The sequence below is a fragment of the Homo sapiens genome, chromosome 22 (genome assembly GCF_000001405.40).
Source record: "Homo sapiens chromosome 22, GRCh38.p14 Primary Assembly".
NCBI classification, from domain to species: domain Eukaryota; kingdom Metazoa; phylum Chordata; class Mammalia; order Primates; family Hominidae; genus Homo; species Homo sapiens.
In genome coordinates, this window is record NC_000022.11 from 18808525 (window position 1) to 18826919 (window position 18395).

The 18395-nt window shown below is 47.2% G+C and overlaps 7 annotated features.

Annotated features, from left to right (window-relative positions):
- Positions 12082-12595: an enhancer, noted in NCBI's record as "NANOG-H3K27ac-H3K4me1 hESC enhancer chr22:18808119-18808632 (GRCh37/hg19 assembly coordinates)". NCBI's record gives its function as "activates a minimal SCP1, AML or CMV promoter by ChIP-STARR-seq in primed H9 embryonic stem cells {active_cell/tissue: H9 hESC(primed)}" and the evidence as "EXISTENCE:reporter gene assay evidence [ECO:0000049][PMID:30033119]".
- Positions 12596-13111: an enhancer, noted in NCBI's record as "NANOG-H3K27ac-H3K4me1 hESC enhancer chr22:18808633-18809148 (GRCh37/hg19 assembly coordinates)". NCBI's record gives its function as "activates a minimal SCP1, AML or CMV promoter by ChIP-STARR-seq in primed H9 embryonic stem cells {active_cell/tissue: H9 hESC(primed)}" and the evidence as "EXISTENCE:reporter gene assay evidence [ECO:0000049][PMID:30033119]".
- Positions 13112-13625: an enhancer, noted in NCBI's record as "H3K27ac-H3K4me1 hESC enhancer chr22:18809149-18809662 (GRCh37/hg19 assembly coordinates)". NCBI's record gives its function as "activates a minimal SCP1, AML or CMV promoter by ChIP-STARR-seq in primed H9 embryonic stem cells {active_cell/tissue: H9 hESC(primed)}" and the evidence as "EXISTENCE:reporter gene assay evidence [ECO:0000049][PMID:30033119]".
- Positions 13626-14139: an enhancer, noted in NCBI's record as "OCT4-H3K27ac-H3K4me1 hESC enhancer chr22:18809663-18810176 (GRCh37/hg19 assembly coordinates)". NCBI's record gives its function as "activates a minimal SCP1, AML or CMV promoter by ChIP-STARR-seq in naive and primed H9 embryonic stem cells {active_cell/tissue: H9 hESC(naive and primed)}" and the evidence as "EXISTENCE:reporter gene assay evidence [ECO:0000049][PMID:30033119]".
- Positions 14140-14653: an enhancer, noted in NCBI's record as "OCT4-H3K4me1 hESC enhancer chr22:18810177-18810690 (GRCh37/hg19 assembly coordinates)". NCBI's record gives its function as "activates a minimal SCP1, AML or CMV promoter by ChIP-STARR-seq in naive H9 embryonic stem cells {active_cell/tissue: H9 hESC(naive)}" and the evidence as "EXISTENCE:reporter gene assay evidence [ECO:0000049][PMID:30033119]".
- Positions 14973-15477: an enhancer, noted in NCBI's record as "H3K4me1 hESC enhancer chr22:18811010-18811514 (GRCh37/hg19 assembly coordinates)". NCBI's record gives its function as "activates a minimal SCP1, AML or CMV promoter by ChIP-STARR-seq in primed H9 embryonic stem cells {active_cell/tissue: H9 hESC(primed)}" and the evidence as "EXISTENCE:reporter gene assay evidence [ECO:0000049][PMID:30033119]".
- Positions 15982-16485: an enhancer, noted in NCBI's record as "NANOG-H3K27ac-H3K4me1 hESC enhancer chr22:18812019-18812522 (GRCh37/hg19 assembly coordinates)". NCBI's record gives its function as "activates a minimal SCP1, AML or CMV promoter by ChIP-STARR-seq in primed H9 embryonic stem cells {active_cell/tissue: H9 hESC(primed)}" and the evidence as "EXISTENCE:reporter gene assay evidence [ECO:0000049][PMID:30033119]".

Below are 18395 nucleotides of genomic sequence, written 5' to 3' on the forward strand. Positions count from 1 at the left end.
TGGGCTTTGAACATTCGCTACAGGCTCTGACAAAGCAGTGATGGTTCAAAAGCCTCTGCCCCCTGGTGGCAAGCCCTGCCCAGATGCTGTTAAGGGGCTCTCCAGGCACGCCCTCCTAATTAGGGGCAAAATCAGAGAAGCCTCTTTGGAAGAAGACAAAAGGCACAATGAGATGCGGTCTCCTGAAGTAGAGGCTTTCTCTCTGGTTATCACCTGAAACAGGAAATAAGGACTGAGTACCTGCTCAATTCCAGGCACTAGCCAAATCTGCAGCAAACTAGCATTTCCAAAGGTGTCTTCTTACTTTAATCTCACAGCCACCCTGTGAGGGAAGTGTACATTCCCCATTTCGCTGATGAGATGAGCAAACTGAGGCTCGGAGAAATTGTCAGTGGGATACAGAGTTGGCATCCAAACCCACAATCTCTGACTCTAAGCTTCTGTTTCATTCATTCCACAAATATATATGGTGTCTCCTCTTTGCTGGACACTGTACTGGGCTGATGAGCTACAAGACCCAATCTTTACAGTCTAGGAGGCAGAGATAGATAAGTAAACAGAGGCGGCAAAGCGTGGCACTGTGAAAGATGCACTGAGGACACCGAGCTAGGTGTTCCACAGGCGTCAGGAAAGGCTTCACACAAGAGAGGTTGCTTGTGCCCAGTTCTAATTAGGATGAGTAGGTATTTCTGCTAGATCGTGGTGGGGTGGGGAGGACATCACATAGGACCTCAGCAGAGAGCAGCTCGAATCTATGCAGAGCTGCACGAGGAGCCGGAGGTCCAGAGTACTGCAGCAGTTTGACATTGATGGGTGGTAGGGTCCATGAAAGTAGAGGAAGACCAAGAGGAAGCAGCAGACAGGGGCCAGGCCAGGGCAGGGATAGGGTGCTCTACTAAAGAGCATGGGCTTTGAACTATGAGCAGTGGAGAGCCACTGGGGGTGTAAATAAGGAAACAGATATTCCAAATCCTGCCTTGGGAAGATTGTTCTGGCAGGAGTGATGGGAAAGGGGCCCTGGCAGAAGATTCCTTCATGCTCCTGCGGTGATCCAGGTGAGAGCTGCTGAGGACCCCAACCAAATCAGATCACTGGACCTCCACTGGGAGTGAAAGGGGGTGGTCTGGCCAGAGAGATAGTAAAGAGATGTAGTTAACAGGCAAGAGAATGTGGGGATATCCAGGGAGCTGTCCACAATTCGCAGGTCTTAGGCAACTGCTTGGGAGAAGTTGATGAGGTCATCACTGGACAGAGAATCTATTCCCTGGGCCCAACCAACTCTCTAGACCATCCTGCCATGTGCCTCTGAGAAGTGAGCTTCCCCAGCCAAGCCCACAGGAGGACATATGGAGCAAAGGTCAACAGTCACTCAGCTGATGGATGGCAAGCATTCAGATGGGAGGTGCCTCCACAGGCCATGATAACCCATGGATCCATTTGAGAAAGATGCCAAAAAACAGTTAATTCAAGGCCACTTTAAAATACCTGGCATTCAATCCTCCTCAATGTCTCCATCAACTGTAGACCCTATAACTACCAAATGAGCTCCACTCGCCACAAAGCTCAAGACACAGAAACGGTCAGAGAGCAGAGCCTATTCCTGAAAAGCAAAAGACTCCAAACTTCCACAACTCAACCAGTGAAGGGCTGGGGAAGACTGACAGGTTCACTAAGAAATGAGAGGAAGGACAAACAAGGTGTTCAAATTAGAAAATGATTCCATTAATGAGGGCTCTGATGATATAGTTGTGGAGGTTATCAGTTTGCCAGAGCTGCAGATTTAAAATACTTACATGGTCATCGAAACCAAAAAATGCTGACCATCCCCCAAAACCTCCCACCCCACCTAGTGCTGATAACAGGAGTTATCAGTTGCCTTTTGTGTACAGCTAGATGAGATATGGATCTGTGGGGGGAAGAAGGGGTGGGCGTGCTAGCATCTCTCAGCTAGACTGTCATCGGATGGTGACATTCCCCAGGACTCAAGCAGCATCTGAGAAGCCACTTTCAGTATGACTATGGAACAGCTAACCACACAACACAGCATACTGAATGAGGAGCCTCGCAGGCTGAGAAGAAAGCAAACCCGGAAGGCAACAAATGGATACGTGCATGCTGAAGGACTCGTGTTTAATTCTTCCCGGTAATCCTTTGTCAGGCATATATTTTTGTCTCCTCAAACTTAAGAAAGAAATCCATGCTCTGGAGGGGAGAAAGAGAGGCTGTACTCATTAACTCAGAGCTGACCTCGTCTGGCAGGATTAACTCGCCATACCTGTCCAGCCCACAGAACCTGGCCTGGAGCATGGAGGGAGAACCACAGCCAACTCCAGAAAAATAAAAGGCTGCAGCGAGAAACAAGTGGGGCCACAGAGAGAAAGGGGTTTTGAAAAAGTTCTAAATCCCCATGGCTAGGGACAGTGACATCAGTGTGTTTACCAAGTATTTGATTTACTTGCTCAGGCAAAATTCCAGAAGAGACACTGGGACCTGTGTGGAGAGTTTCTTCACTGCAGCTATCCTGCCAAGCTCATTGTAAAGTGACGAATTTTGTGGACACTTACAGAGAAAAAATAGCTTCAAATGCTATAGACCAATGCTGCACGCTGCAGAGACACAGTCTTTGGGTTCTGTGAGCTGTATTTGGGCATTACGCAGAGTTCAGCTGCCATCTGTCCCTTTGAAGGCCAGCTAAGAAGTTGGTCCCAGCCTGGGCATGGTACCACTGTCCTACATTCCAGCCATTTGGGATATCCTGGGTTCAAGCATTCCCTCCCATTGCTGGATCAAGCACTTCCCACCTCCTGCTCTGGGAAATCAGATCTCAGTAGGTCATCAACCATCCCAGAAAGTCCAGCAGAGTTGGTTTTGGTTTGGGGGTGTTTTTTGAGTTGGGTGGAAGAAGAGACCTTATATAATCTTTTAACTTTTTCTCTAAGGCTGAATTCCCTATAAGCAAAATTTTAAAATTTTTTTTAAAGAAGAAAAACACCCAGACAATCCTTAAAATCCCCTTTCAGCTCCAAGACTGTGTAATTCTGTGATACCAGTATTGAAAGCCCCTGCATTTCCCTAACTATATATTCCCCTATGCCAGGGAAAGGTGCATGTAAGTGAGAGAACAAAAAATTTCACAATCGTGGGGACCTCTTCTTTCGGCTTTGGAGCCCCCTTCCCTCTGTCTCTGTACGGGGCAGCTTTTTCCTTCTGTCTTCTCCCTTCCTTCTTGTCTACTAAACTCTCTGCGCCTTAGAACCAAAAATAAAAAATAAAAATTCAAAATCATGATCTTAGGGGTGAAAGAACACTGAGAAACCATAGAAAGCAAAAATGAAAAGCCAACATAGAAAAAGTCTGACTTGAATTAGAAGCAGCACTTAAAATTACAGGTTCAGAAAAAGCTTGAACAGAATCCAGGGCTGAGGTCAGCCCTGAGTCTGCAGGCTCTGCCCTCTCACAAAGGTGAGTAGATGGGTCTGGAGAGGGCTGTTCATGCTATGGAAGGGCCTCTATGCCATCGAGGCTAAAACCAAAGCAGGAGCAAATCAGCCCTGCTAGTGTGTACAGTCGGCATCAAAGAGGCAACAACGGTAGAGAATATTTTCTGAAAGACACACATGAAACCAGTAACGGCGATGGTCTCTGGAAGAATTAGGTCAGAAGCAGACTTAATTTGCACTGTGTACATTCTTTGGTATCCTTTTTAATTGAACGCATGTGAATGCATTACCTATTCAAAAATAAATGTGTAAAAACACGTGCCACGACAAAGCAAAATGAGGAGACAGTATAAAAAAGACAAGGATAATTTTAAATTTCTCCTAATAAAACGCTGTTTAAAAATCTAAGAGGAAAAAAGGGTAGGCTCCAGCTAGTGGAGAGAACAACTGAAAAACAAGAGCCACGTGTTCCCATGGTCCTGGCCAACCCCACTTCTTTCCCATCCTCACTCGTTCACATCTGCCTTGGAGCACCCACAGCAAGCCTGGCTTCATGCCCAGAACATCGCCTGGCTTTCCTCCTCTCTCCCTGCCCACATCTCCTCAGTCACTCGCTGCCTCCTCTCTTGCTTCTCTCCCAGTTCTCAGTTTGCCCATCAAATCTCAGGTGGTACTCTCCATTCTCTGCTATGAGGGAGTTCATTTGTTCATGCAATTTCCCCACCGGAGACAAAATGTATTTCCCAAAGTTGGCTTGCAATGACATCTCCCATGCCTGCTCTGCTTACCCATGACTTTGACACTCCTTCCATCGAGAGGGCAGAACCTGTGTTTCCTCTCTCTGAATCTAGGTGGGCTACAGCTCTGGTAGAAGTGACACTCTGTGACCTTAAGGCTAGGTCACAAAAAGGGAATGCAGCTTCTGCCAGCAATCCTGGGACACACACTTGGAGCCCGAGCTGCTGTGTAAGCCATCTGCCTGCTCTGAGCCCACCACACTATAAGGAAGCCCAAGCTAGCCCACAGGAGAGACGAGGTGAAGAGAATGAGATGCCAGTCTCCACTGCTCCAGCTCTCTAGTGTCCCAGCCCCAGCCACTATCTGACTGCAACCCCATGAAAGACTGAGCCAGAACCACGAGCCCAGCCCTTCCTGATGTTGACATACAGACTTCATGAAAGAGAATAAACTAATTTTTGCTTTAAGCCACTATGATTTGGGATGATTTGTTATGCAGCACTGGATAACTGCAACACCTGCTTCTAAACAGTAGAATCCCAAACGTCTAGGCCCCATCTCTAACTTACTTCATGTTCCTGTTCTCACTGATTTTTTGCCACTGAGCTTGACCAAGCCCTTGAGTCACCAATTCCAGATATTTGTTTAAACAAATTCACTGTGACTGTCTACACTATCCATTCCTCCAAAACAATCCCTGTTATAGTTGGCCTTCCCCAGTTCTCTTCCTGGCATAGAGTAGTCTGTGCCCTTCTCTCATTTCTTAATATGACCCTCACCCATGGAGTGTTCCTAGATTCTGCTCATTCATAATGCTTCTTCACCCACCCTAACCTCTCCCTCCTGTAGCCACAGATCATCCACTTTTCCAGGCCTCTGCACTGGAGGCTGCATCAGCCACCTCCCAGTACGTCATCCTTTCCAATGCCCTACAACACGGGGCAGAAAGGACTCTTTTTTGCTGCACATCCAGGCTGTTTAAGAAAAGGCTTAAGGCAGCTTAAGCACAAAGAATGTCATCTTCAAACATTGTAACGGCATCTTCTTTTTGGGACACTGAAGTATTCCCATGATTCCAAGAATCAAATGAACAGCATCTGGTTATGGGGTCTCTGGTCTCTGCCAAGGCAAACTCATAAAGCATTTCAGAGCCCTTCATCTGGAAAGGCCTTTTCTCCACCCCACGCCCAGCCAATGCCCACTCATACTTTAAGGCCCAGCTCATCCGTCATCTCTGCTAGGGAACCTTCCTCAGTCAGTGCCTTATGCAGGCAACCATTCCTGCCTTGTGTTGTGTTGTGTTGTGTTGTGCCTTAAGTCAAATCCTTAACTCATCTTTGTGTGTCCCCTTGCATTTCAGACAGTAGGTGCCCAATAAATGTTTGTGGGATGAATCAACTGGTAATTCTCCTGGAACACCCTTTCCCAGTACACCTCCACTCGCCAGAACAACTGTCTTCCTCACAGGTGCCAGCCATCACCCCGACCACACCCTCTCAAAAGGCCTTTGCCAGTCATCAAACAAAGCCTCTTGTCTCCTGAGAGCCGCTCCACAATCACCTTCCCAAGAAGAATTCCCCATACCGAGTCCACCATTCCTTCCCTGATCAAAGTTGCTTTCACAGGCATCTTTTCAGCTATCCACTCTTCACGGCTTGGTTTTCATGCACTCTGAGTTGGCCCTATCTCCCCTTTTTGGCCTCAAGCACGTCAAGAGGAAGGCTGGTGACAGCCTTTCCCGAGCTCAGGACAGTTTTCATGCAAACTCGTTCTTCCAGGTTCTTATGCCTGGAAGAACTGCTGCTCTCCAATAGCATGAAGTAGACAATGATGTTCTTAGCATCCAGTCTTAAAACTAGAAAAAGTATTGGCACTGCTGAATCCCCAGCTCCTAGAACGGTGTGTGGCACCTAAACAGAGCTCAAAAATATTAGGTGAATGGAGGAAAGAATGAACAGTCATCTGGCCCAGACTTGGAGAAGCTGTGATCTGTCTAGCCCTTCTACACCAGGAGCGAGGCCTGAAAAGCTGCATGACTCACCCAAGGTCACGAGCAAGCCAGTGAAGAGGGGCTGGAACCCTGTCTTTTGCCTCAAAGCACAGGGCCCTCCTTCTGTCCCACCCAGCTTTCTCACCACCCACCCCACCCCTTCCACACTCCAAAGACAGCATCTCCGTGAGAAGCGTTGGGCAGTGTCCAGGAGTGTTTTTCTTCCTGGCTTTAAAACAAATTGTGACAAATGGCTCCACAGATCTACCGGGCCGTGGAGCTGAGCAGATGGGACTGCAATTCACGCTATTAACTCAAATTCTACTTGACTTTCTTTCAAATCAGGGCATTTTATCTAGAAATTATAAAAAATTGTTGGGGGAGTGCCTTTGTAAGGAAGTTTGCCAGCACATTCATTTACAAATCGACTTGCTCCTGGCCACCCTCACTGATCACGGACTTTTACTCACGCTCCCTTACTCTCTCCCATCAAAGAGTCCAGCGCATGGAGAGAGTGATGGAATCTTGAGGCCCACCGGTCTAACCACCCACCTAAGCTTGACTCCCCTGTGCCTGTGGACATCCTGCGTGCAGATGCACATTCCCACTAATGGCAGCCAGGGGAAAGCACTATTCGAAAGTTCTTCTTTACTTTGAACTCAAATTGGGCTCAGGGGTCCTGGATACAGGACAACCCCAATCTCTTATTTATTCAATGGACAACAGGTGAGCACATACTAGGCCTGGACACTGATGTAGGTAGGCACTAAAGCTTCAGAGAGATGCAAACGAGCAATCTTTACCCTGAAGGAGCTCATGTTCTATGGGTTCATTTCCTTTCCCTGTGTCTTACAAACAGGTTCCAGTTTGTTTCCGTCCTTCAGAGTGTACTGCCTAGAACTGCATGCTATTCTCCACAAGTGGCCTGACCAGCTTGTGGACAAGGATGAAGCAAGCAGACCACCTTCTTTCAGTGCAGACAAGATGGCTGTTTAGAGGCCACATCACGTGGCAGACACCTGCCAACTAAAACCCTCCATCCTTCCCACAGCCTCCCCCTCCTACACTTTGCAGCTGGATTCAAAACCTTGCATTCACCCTTGTTCCATCAACAGGGCCAGGCCATCAGTCTGTCTCATCCGGACTGTTTTTTATCTTACTTGCCAACCTACACACTTGCTGTTCCTTCTTGCCTTAAAGTCATACAGATGACTTTAGGTGATTCAGATGAGTGTGACCTCTACTTTCACCAAACACAATAGTCAATTCAGAAAGGTCAAGGACAGAACCCTCCAGCATGCTAACGCAGCCAAAGAAGTCTGAAAACAATACTTGGCCACACTGTTTTCCTGCTTACGGATGTGGGCTGCTCTTGTCCTGCCTGTAAATATATCGGATCGCTCTCCTTCTTGCTGGCATCCACAGTAACTATACTCAATAAACACACCAACTTTGATGCCAAATCCTAGGCCATCCCACACATCTTAAAAATAAAACAAAAATATGTTATTCCAGCTACCCTCACTCTTTTTGTGGTTTCCTGCAGTCCAACTAGCTACAAATCTCAAAGCCAAAGATTGTAGCTCCCTCTCTTTTGTTCTTTCATCAAGCCAAGGAGTCCTGCTCCTCTCTCTCTAGTCTCTCCTGTGTCAGTGCCACTTGTCAACTGCCTAATCCAGCCACGCTGCTCTTCAATATTAAAGGTCTTCAGCATATTTTAAAGTTAGTCTCCTACTGCCACTCTTTTCCCTACTCTTGCCAGTCCACTCAGTAAACTACTGCCATACAGGTCTCCCACAGCAGTTTCTCACCAGATAAACAATGGCCGGAGATTCCACTTTGCCAATCACATCAAGTCCAAACTCCGTGTCTTGGTATCCAAGGCTTCTAAAGTCTGGCCCCACTCCACCTACTCACTCTGACACCCACCACTCCCTCCAAACATTCCCGGTACGTCTTACTGGATTTTGCCATTTCCTCCAAGTTGACCAGGAGTCATTCACACCTAAAGGCTATGCTTACATCGTTTTCCATCTCTTGTGTTGGTGAGCTAAAAACAAGATGGAAAAGAAAAAAGAAGAGGAAGAGAGAAAAAGAGAAAAGGAAGAAATGGGGAAAACAGCAATAGGACCAGCTAACTCCTACAGCAGAGTCTTGCCAGGCCCTCCCCTAATTGCTTTATATGTGTTACAATGTTTAACCCTCACAACTACAACAGGAGTTGGGTACCATTCCATCCCCACCTGCAGATGAGTGTGGCACCCCAAGATTAAGTATCTGCCCAGGGTCACGTGAAAAGTCTGCATGCATGCTGAACCATTCCAGCTGCACCACTGCCCAGGAAAAAAGTCACAGGTAGGAAGACAAGTATAGAATTAAGAACAAGGCAACTAACTGTACCAGGTGCTACAGAAGGGTGGTCAGCCTGGAAAATCAGGAGGTGCATTCCTTGGGAGATTGCCGCAATCAGAGTCTGGGAGTATGCAGGAGCCTGGCAGGCAGCCCAGGGACAGGTGAGGCACAGGCACTCATTCCCTTCCATGTGAGAAGTCAGGGCACGTGCAAAGCCAAGGCCAGAGGACAAAGGTGAGCTCGCCAATAGGGCCAATACTGGGTCTGGCTGGAAGGGGAGGGTGGACAGAGATGGGTACTAAGAAGTGAAGATGGACAGGCAGGACCAGGTCTTAAAGGGTTTGTGTCTTGCTAAAGATGGGCCCTTAATTCCGTGACACATCTATTCAACCACTCCTCATTATCTACCTAAATTCTACTGTGCCTTTACAAAGCCCAGTTCAAGTCCTTTTTCCTCTCAGGCCTGTCCTCCCTACTCCTGAGCAAACCACAGGTGTGGAGACAGGTCCCAACCACCTGCAGATGACAGAAGGAAGCTGCATCTAGGATCGGTCTACACAGAGGCAAGAAGGGATCCTCCTCCTCTGCCTTCTCCTTTCATGCTGTTCTTACCTTCTCTCAAAAAGAAAGAAAATACAGTGTCATTGCTTCTTCCCTAAGCTTGTTAAGTCAAAGCAAGTCAAAGCATCAGAGCTTCATTACTTGGCTTTTTCTAGCTATAAGTGTCTGGAAAATATCAGGAGTCACTGGCCTCTAGGAATCCATTAAGTTAAAGGAGCTCCATGATCTACTATCATAAGATGACAAAGAAAATATGCACTTTCTTTGGGAGGCCAAGTTGGGCGAATCACTTGAGGTCAGGAGTTCAAGACCAATCTGGCCAACATGGTGAAACCCCGTCTCTACTGAAAACACAAAAATTAGCTGGGCTTGGTGGCAGGCACCTGTAATCCCAGCTACTCAGGAGACTGAGGCAGGAGAATCGATTGAACCCTTACCCAGGAGACAGAGGTTGCAATGAGCCGAGATGGCACCACGGCACTCCAGCCTGAGCAACAGTGTGACTCCATCTCAAAAAAAAAAAAAAAAGAAAGAAAGAAAGGAAGGAAGAAAGAAGAAAATATGCATTTTCTCAGGATTAAATAACAAAAAATGCCAAGTTTCTTAGCTCCAGTCAAGAAAATGACATCATGTGACAACAGCAGCCATTGCAAGTTTATCAGAAGATGAACAATTACAGATTTTTCATTTCTGAATAAGGAACCATTTACACAGACACATGTATAACAAATGTCTGTGCACATCCCGGACTTGTCAAATCTTAACATTTTGCCACACCTGGTTTAGTTTTTTTATTTTTCCTTTCAAGAAAGAAAGCATTACAGGCTGTGCTTCAATCCCTATTTCACCCCCTTTCAAGCCCCACTATTCCACCCATCCCAGAAATGACAACATCCCGAATTTGGTATTTACCACTCTTGCACATTTATTTTTATGCTTTTACTACCTATGTATGTAGCCATAATATATAGAGTTTTTGGATGCTATAAAACTGTTTAAAATGGCATCACACTGTATGCACCCTTTTGCATCTGTTTTAATTGACAAAACATTTTTGAGGGTAATCCTTGTTGACATATGTCACTCCAGGGCATTCCTTTCAACTGCTTTATACCATGGTCCACTGTCTGGATAATCATTATCTATAGCACAATGTATTCATTTTCCTACTGATAAATTTTTAAGTGGTTTCCAACTTTTCATTGCAATAAATATTCTTGTAAATCTTCATCCAAGGGTATCTTCAACCACACTAGGCATTGCCCAAATTGCTCTGCAACATCAGTGCACCAATTTACATTGCCAAGATCAGTGTTTAAGTGTTTCTATTCTTTGATGTCTTTGTCAACCTTGGTACTATTTGACTACTACACTTTTCACCAATCAGATATAAGGATGAAATGGTGCCTTCTTGGTATTCTGAAAATTAATTTTAAATGGGAAAATAAATTACTAATAAGTGCAGCTTAATCAACAAGAGTTTTCATTAACATGTGGGAATACACCAGGTGTTCCTTGGATTTTCTTGAAAATTCTACAGGGAGGGTACGGGAGTGACGGTACAGATAAGATTGGACATGAGCTGATAATTGTTGGAACTAGGTGATGAGTGTATGAGGGTTAATTATCCTGCTCTCTCCACTTTGGTACATATTTGAAATTTTTCACAATAGAAATTAAAAGAAGAACAGGGCGTGGTGGCTCACGCCTGTAATTCCAGCACTTTGGAAGGCCATGGCAGAGGATCACTTGAGGTCAGGAATTAAAGACCAGCTGGTCAACATGGGGAAACCCCACCTCTACTAAAAATACAAAAATTAGCTGGGTATGGTGGTGTGTAATCCCAGCTATTGAGGAGGCTGAGGCACGAGAATCGCTTGGACCCAGGAGGCAGAGGTTGCAGTGAGCCAAGATCGTGCCATTGCACTCTAGCCTGGGCAACAGGGCAAGCCTCTGTCTCAAAAAAAAAAAAAAAAAGAAGAAGAAGAAAGAAAACAAAGAAGAAAGAAAGAAAGAAAGAAAATTAAAAGAAGGAAATGCCATAAAGCATCTGGGCAAAGAACATCCAAAGAAGAGCACTGATCACTGCAGCAGACAGCCGTTCAGAATGGGCAGAGAGCAGAGCTGGCAGGAAGAGAGGACAAAAGGAAGACCAGGAAGGGAAGCCAGGAAAAGAGATTTTGCATTGTGTTATTATTTCAATCAGAAGACTTAGGAACATTATTTAATTATCAAATTTGTGTGTCTGATGATCCTTTACAACACTGCAGCATCAAATAAAGTGTTATCAGATTTCTTTCTTTTTTTTTTTTTTGAGACTGGGTCTGATTCTGTAGCCCAGGCTGGAGTGCAGGGGTATAATAATAGCTCACTGCAGCTTCAAACTCCTGAGTTTGTTTGTTTGTTTGTCTGTTTGTCTGTTTGTTTGTTTGGAGAGACAGCGTCTCGAACTCCTGGGCTCCAGTGATCCTCCCACCTCAGCCTCCCAAAGTGCTGGGATTACAAGCATGAGCCACTGTGCCCCAGCCCAACATCTGATTTCAAAAGTACTATTGATATTATAATCACCATTAAAAATCACTGAAGTTTTTGTCACCCAAAGTTTTACTTTGAAATATAGAACATTTCATTTTTTTCCCACACACCTCACATCTGCTTTTGATTTTTAACATGTGCATGAATTACCTCTTATTAGAAAAAAAAACACAAAATTTTTTGGTAAAAGAATTATCTTAAGTGGGTATTTTTTCCCTAAGTCTGAAATGACTTAGTAAGGATAAGAGGTCAAACCATATGCTTTGTAGTGAAACTGCAACTATGATGAATAACATTAGAATTCTGGATGCCTTCCAGCAGCTGGAACAGGGCAGACCTGAGGCGGGAGTCCTCATGCTTAGGGGAAGGGGCTCAGGCACTGGGAGTCGGTCAGGGCTCCCAGGATGTAAAAGATACACATGAAAGAAACAAACAGTGGGACTCGGGCCAGTGCAAAATTTGGCCTGGAACTGAGCTAAAAACTGTCATACTGGTGGGAAGAAGCAGATTGGTTCAACAGGGTAACCAAATGTGAAAAAGAAAAGCCTCACAAGAATTAAAATTGATGGTTGGAACTGGGCGCTCCGAGGCTGTGGGCCGGTGTCCTGCCCCGAAGGGTTTGGCTGCCAGCAGGTGCAGCGCTGCCCTGGGATACCAGCTCCTGGGATGCGCTGTAGTATCATCAATCACCGGTGCTGCTCGCTGGGCCTTGGAAGCACACAGTAGTAGCAGATGTCAGCAGGGGGCCACCAGGGCCACCTGCCAGTGAGCCCACTGCTTAGCTGAGTCATGGTCAAGTTTCTCTGCAGATTGTTGCCTGAAAATATTTCACCACCTGGAACCTCCCTGTCCCACCCATCTTCACTTGCAATACTCACTCCCCTCACCTCTGCCCCTAAAGCAATTATTCATTAACCACAGGGATCCACCATCCAGGAACAAAAGAGGCTTGAAAGCTCTATCTGTGCCTGCACTTCTTGGTCCAAAAGGCGCAGGGGGATGGGGGAGAGGCACCGGGGTCATGGTGCAGGCTCAGCTGTTGAGCCTCATTCCCCAAACACAATGTGACAGGTATCAATAGTTCTGGAGTTGATCATTTCACAGAAAGGAAACTGCTGTCAACCTGCCCAAGGCCACACAGCTAGTCCTGGATAAATTGACTTAAAGAACCCAGGTCTCTGATTCCCAAATCAGTGCTCTTACCCCTCCCACGCCACCTCTCTCTTCTAAAGATCCACCCAATGGAACTGCCCCAGGGCTGGTATCCCAGCTACTTCTCCATTCATGCCGCAGGTCAATGATTCAGGGCGGACACTCCTCAAGTGACCTTCAGAGGCCCTGACTCACTCCTCCGACAGTCCTTTGTGTCTGGACTCCCAGCCGCTCCTCAGCAGCTCTGTCCTCTTTTGTACATTTATTACTGTCAGCCTGAGGCTAGCAGGAGGTCTCAATGCCTGGTGATCTGAGGCCAGCCTGTCCCAGGCCCTCCCAGTCCCGTGAGGTCCTCCTGGGGATGCAGGCACAGCGACTGACAAGGATAAGGAGCAGAAGGGCAGGTGGCTTTCTGGGTGTGAGCTTGGCCTTCTGCCACACCCATGCTCAGAAAGGTGTTTACGGGCACGTCTTGTGTTGTCACAGGTGTAGAAAGGGCTTTGACACGCGGCAGATCCTCCAATCCCTGTGAAAGAGGGATCATTCTTTCTATTATACAGTGAGGACGCTGAAGTCCAGAAAGGTCAGGTGACTGATGAAAGGTCATAAAATTAGCAGGAATCAGGGAAAGGGCAGGAAAGCAGAGCTTCCAGTTGCAAGGTCAGAACTCTTCAGCCCAGCAGGCGAGTTTGCCAGCCAGTCTGTGCCCTGGTCTCTGCCCTCCCCAAACACGTGCACCAATTTGGAGGGGCTGCTCCCAGCACGCATGCTGCAAGATAAACTTCAGTGCTCAGCCCTCTCACTGTGACAACAATCCCTTAGAAAGGGGTCCACGCTGTCCATCTGGGCCCCTACACCAAAGAACACCTAATTATCAGTGGTCCTCACTCAGGAAACATGCCCACAAATAAAGACAAAAGTAAACCCAACTACACATTCCTCAAAATCCTCCTCTCCATTTCACAGAAACACCACAACAGAGCAGAACTGCAACCTGATAGCATCCCTGTCTGGTTTTGACTCTTTCAAAACATCAGGGACCTCACAGGAAAGCAATGCAGAAAACTGCAGTCATTTGGCCGCTTGTTAAGGAGAGCCCTGAGCAGCAAGCTCCAGACCGGAGATGCGCATATAACAGCAGCAGTTCCACACAGCCCTGCACAGCAGCAATTCAGCCTCTGGCAGCTGTGATGATGCTGAGGCAGTGTCCCCACTGCCCCAGTGGCTTCTGCATGCAGGTTCATTTGGGACAGGACACCTCTAACTCCATCTCTGGCCAGGAGCCAGCATAGTAGGTGCCATGAAAGCCAGGAAGTGAACTGCACAGAATGGACTGTTCCAATGTCCATGGGCTGCAAGTGGGTCCCACGTCACCCACAGGTGAATCTTAATTATGAACCAAGGTGACGGCAGAGAGGATGGGCAGCAAAGGAGGGTGTGTGTGGTGATCAGCCATCAGAGGAGACGGCCCTGTGTGATGAAAGGACCTCCTCAGGAAACCTCCCCACCAGCAACTGGCTCCAAATGGTCAGACTTTCCAAGAAATTCCTGTGAAAAGGACAGGCTCAGGGCATGTGAATGTGATAGTCAGCAATTCGCACCTCAGCAGCCAGTGACACTATGGTATAGGGAAAAGAACCTAGATTAGGCATCAAAAGTACCCGGTCCCCTTCATACATGGCTGGTGGGGAGGTAGGATGGTGCAGCCACTTTGGAAAACAGTCTGGTAGTTTCTTTCAAAGTTACCAAATGACCCAGCAATCCCACTCCTAAGTATTTACCCAAGAGAAATAAAACCTGTGTCCACACAAAGACTTGTACACATCCTAATAGCTGTATTCATAGTAGCCCCAAACTGGAAACAACCCAAATGCCCATCAGTTTGTGAAGAGATGGACAAAATGTGCTATATCCATAAAACGGAACCCTACTCAGCAATAAAAAGGTGTGAACTAGATACACACAAGAACATGGAGGGATCTCAAAAGCACTGTGCTGAGCGAGAGAAGCCAGATTCAAAGGGCTACACACTGTAGGATGCCATGTGCATCACATTCTGTACAGTGCAAAACTGTAGTGGCAGGATTCAGGTCCCCTGAGGCTGGGGTCCTGGAGGCAGGAGAGGGGCTGGTAGCAAGGAGGCACAAGGGAACTTTTTGGGGACAGAGGAGTGGTCCATATTTGATAGGTGGTGGTTGTGTGGCTGCTCATGTTTGTCAACAAAGAATTACATATTTTAAACTGGTGAGTTCCGTTGTATGCAAGCAAATTATACCACAATGAAGCAAATCTTTAAAACACTAGGTTCCTTTTCTTTATCTAGAGCTCAAAGTAGTGGCCCATGCTGGCTATGACTTGGAGAAATCACACAAGCTTACTGGGTCTCAACTGCTTCATTTGTACAGGTGGCTGCATAACACTCCCCGGGCAGGGGAACTGTAGGGATGAAATCAGCAAATGTGAGTGAACACACAGAGGAAGCAACACATAGGCCTTCCCCAAATACCCACTTCTGTTTTCTTTCCTCAGTGTGAGTAAGTGGCTCTAATGATCCACAAACCTTCCAACCAGCCAAGTCAAGGACCAGCAGGAGGACTCAGGAAAGTACTGAAATGCTGGGGAGAACCAGGACAGCGGCTGAGCACAGCCAGACAGGGAGGGCAGCCTGGTGGGGCCCTGGGAGCCATGGACGCGACTGCGCTGGGAGTGGGGATGGGAGATAGCAGGAGTTGGTGGGTGGGGCACAAAGTGGGAGCCAGGGCCAAATTGCTGCTGATTTGACCATTTTGCAAAAGGCCAGCCTGGCTGTGGCCTCAGGCCTCTCATTTCCTCTACCATAATGAGGGGTCACGGAAGTGCCTTCCCACAACTGCAGCATCTCCCTCCACATTTGGGCTCAAATACAGAGTGGGGCCGGAGACAGAAAAAGTCTCCGTGACACACTGTGATTTGTTTCTGCACTGTGTGAACCCTTGGCTCTGTGACACAGAACACAGGTTTCAGCAGTTCCTGTCACTTCCCACAGGCGAAACAGACAGAGCATTCTTTTGTCCGGCTTCTGGTGAAACGCCATTATCGTTATTTTTAGGAGGAAGATGGAGAATTGGGGTGGGTCCCCACAAAGAGGATGGATTCAGGAGACTTCCAGGAACCTTAAACGGCTTGGAAACTAATTGTGCCAGTTCTTTTTGATGTCTAATTTTACTCTAAAATTTCCTCTCAGCACAATATATTAATACTGATCAGCCAAGAGAAGGTTAGGTTTTGGCTCACAAATAGTCAAGGAGAGAATCTCCTTCATTCATTGAGAAGGCAGAAGATGGCGTTAAAGAGTATTCACAGGTAACTAAGATTGCCAGAGGGAGAATCGAGTGAGTTGTCAGTGGTGAAATACAGAGGAGGTAGAGAGAGCTACACTGAGACAACAAAGGCAGCTTAAGGGAACAAAGCCAGCTAAGGGAACAAAGCCGGGGTCCCTCAGGTCTGTGGCCACCGGCTCCAGCCAGGACAGCCTGGTAGCTGAAGAGCACGTCCTTGCCCGTTACATGCCTGTGTTTCAAGTGATGCTAACTTGCTAATGCAGATATCTCCCCAAACCCTGCCCCTGGCTCACCACCCAGTGAGCAATCACTCACTTTCCCCAGGACACCTTCAGGGAGGTACTCTGCCAGCACCGCACACTTAAACAGCTACTGCAGGTTCTTCTCTCAGACGCAGCACGGTTCCTGAGATGACGTCAGCGCTGCTCGCTGAAAGCACCAGGCAAGGAGGCAAAACAAAGGAAATCCTAAAGAGCAGGCGAGAGAACAGTGGAACTGGCAGAGAGAGGCACTGGTGCGGATGGAGAGGGCAGCAATAAAAACTGGGGGACACTTAGAGGCAAAGGTATGGCAGGTGACAAAAAAGATGAGCTGAAGCTCAGGAGAGACCCAGGCAGCGATGCCCAAATGACCGGCTGAGGAATCACCTCACTGCTGCTGATGCCCTTGACAGCAATGTCTGAGGCTGGCGTGAGTGCTCCATGCTCAGAGATACCTAGAACCCAGCTACAATGGCCTTATCAGACTGAAACAAGAACACCAAGATATTCCAAGGGAGGTGACAATGGGGTCCAAAGGTTGTGCATTTATGGATCACAACTATGTGCTGAGTGTGGCCCAAATCCCAGCTCCATATGGTCACACCATGTCTACAGCCAATCAGCTGACCGGGGTGGCAACCCCTGGCTCTGCTCAACAATAATGACAACCATCATTTACTGAGCACTTACTATGTGCCAGACCGATGCTAAGTGCTTTCCTCAGATGTTTCCATTTAACTCTTAGAATCACCCTAATGAGTATCTCCTATTATTTTACAGATGAGGAAATGAGAGTTTAGAAAAGTAACTTGCAAAATCATACTGCTGGCTCCATAACAAATGTTGATTGAATGTTGTCTGGGTGGACAGAGGCAAGGATGACCGGAACGAGACAAACAAACAAAAGGCTGACTGACAGACCATTCGGGTAGCACTTTTCCTGGGATTAAGCTTAGACCTTGTAGGCCTATCAGCCAGAAGCAGTGTGTAAAATAAGAGTGGCTGACTGGGCACGGTGGCTCAAGCCTGTAATCCAAGCACTTTGGGAGGCCAAGGCGGGAGGATCACCTGAGGTCAGGAGTTCAAGACCAGCCTGGCCAACATGATGAAACCCCGTCTCTACTACAAATACAAAAATTAGCCGGGTGTGATGGCACACGCCTGTAATCCTAGTTACTCGGGAGGCCGAGGCAGGAGAATCGCTTGAACCCGGGAGGCAGAGGTTGCGATAAGCTGAGATTGGGCCACTGCACTCCAGCCTGGGCGACAGAGCAAGACTCCCTCTGAAAAAAAAAAAAAAAAAAAAAAAGAGTGGCTACCCAAGAACGCAACAGCAGCAGCAAACACTGATCTGATGACACCCCAGTTTTGCAGAAGAGGAAGGAAACATAAGAATGTCAACTCTCCATTCAACAGAGAAACAGTGCCACCACTGTCTTTAAATTTTCAAACTTATCAAGAAAAGCTCCAGAGAGGCCAGTGCCAGCAATGCCGGCTGTCTCCCAAGTCTGAAGGGTTTTCCTCTGGGTATTAGGAGTTGAGGTGTTTGGTTAGAGAAGAAACAGGATGCACGGGAGATCACACACACAGATTAAGAGGTGCCTCTCAAATGCCTTTCCCACGTTTCTAACTCTGCTTTTTTTAAAGCACGATCAGACCCGCCATCTGCACTTTTACCTGCTGCCTGACGAAAACCAGATGCCAAAGGCCTCCCAGCACTCACGGGGCCCTTTACCCTTAGGAAAACACCGTGATTCAGCCAGGCCAGATTGATGCAACATTGTAACAAAGCGTATGCAAAGTGCCTAGCTCCGGACTGCTTGCAGAAAAGGCACATTTTGACTCTTCTGAGAGTGGGAAAGATTTGAAAGATGGGATTTGCACCTTATTCTTATTCAAGTCTGGAGATCTGGAACTTCTTCCTGAAGCTCCACGTTTAGCCAGATAATTGAGACGCTCCACCTGGTCACCACTGGACACCAGCCACCCAAACATTCTCCTCTGCAAGGCACTTGGCATTCTGGTGCCTGTGGAGAGAGCAGCCTTC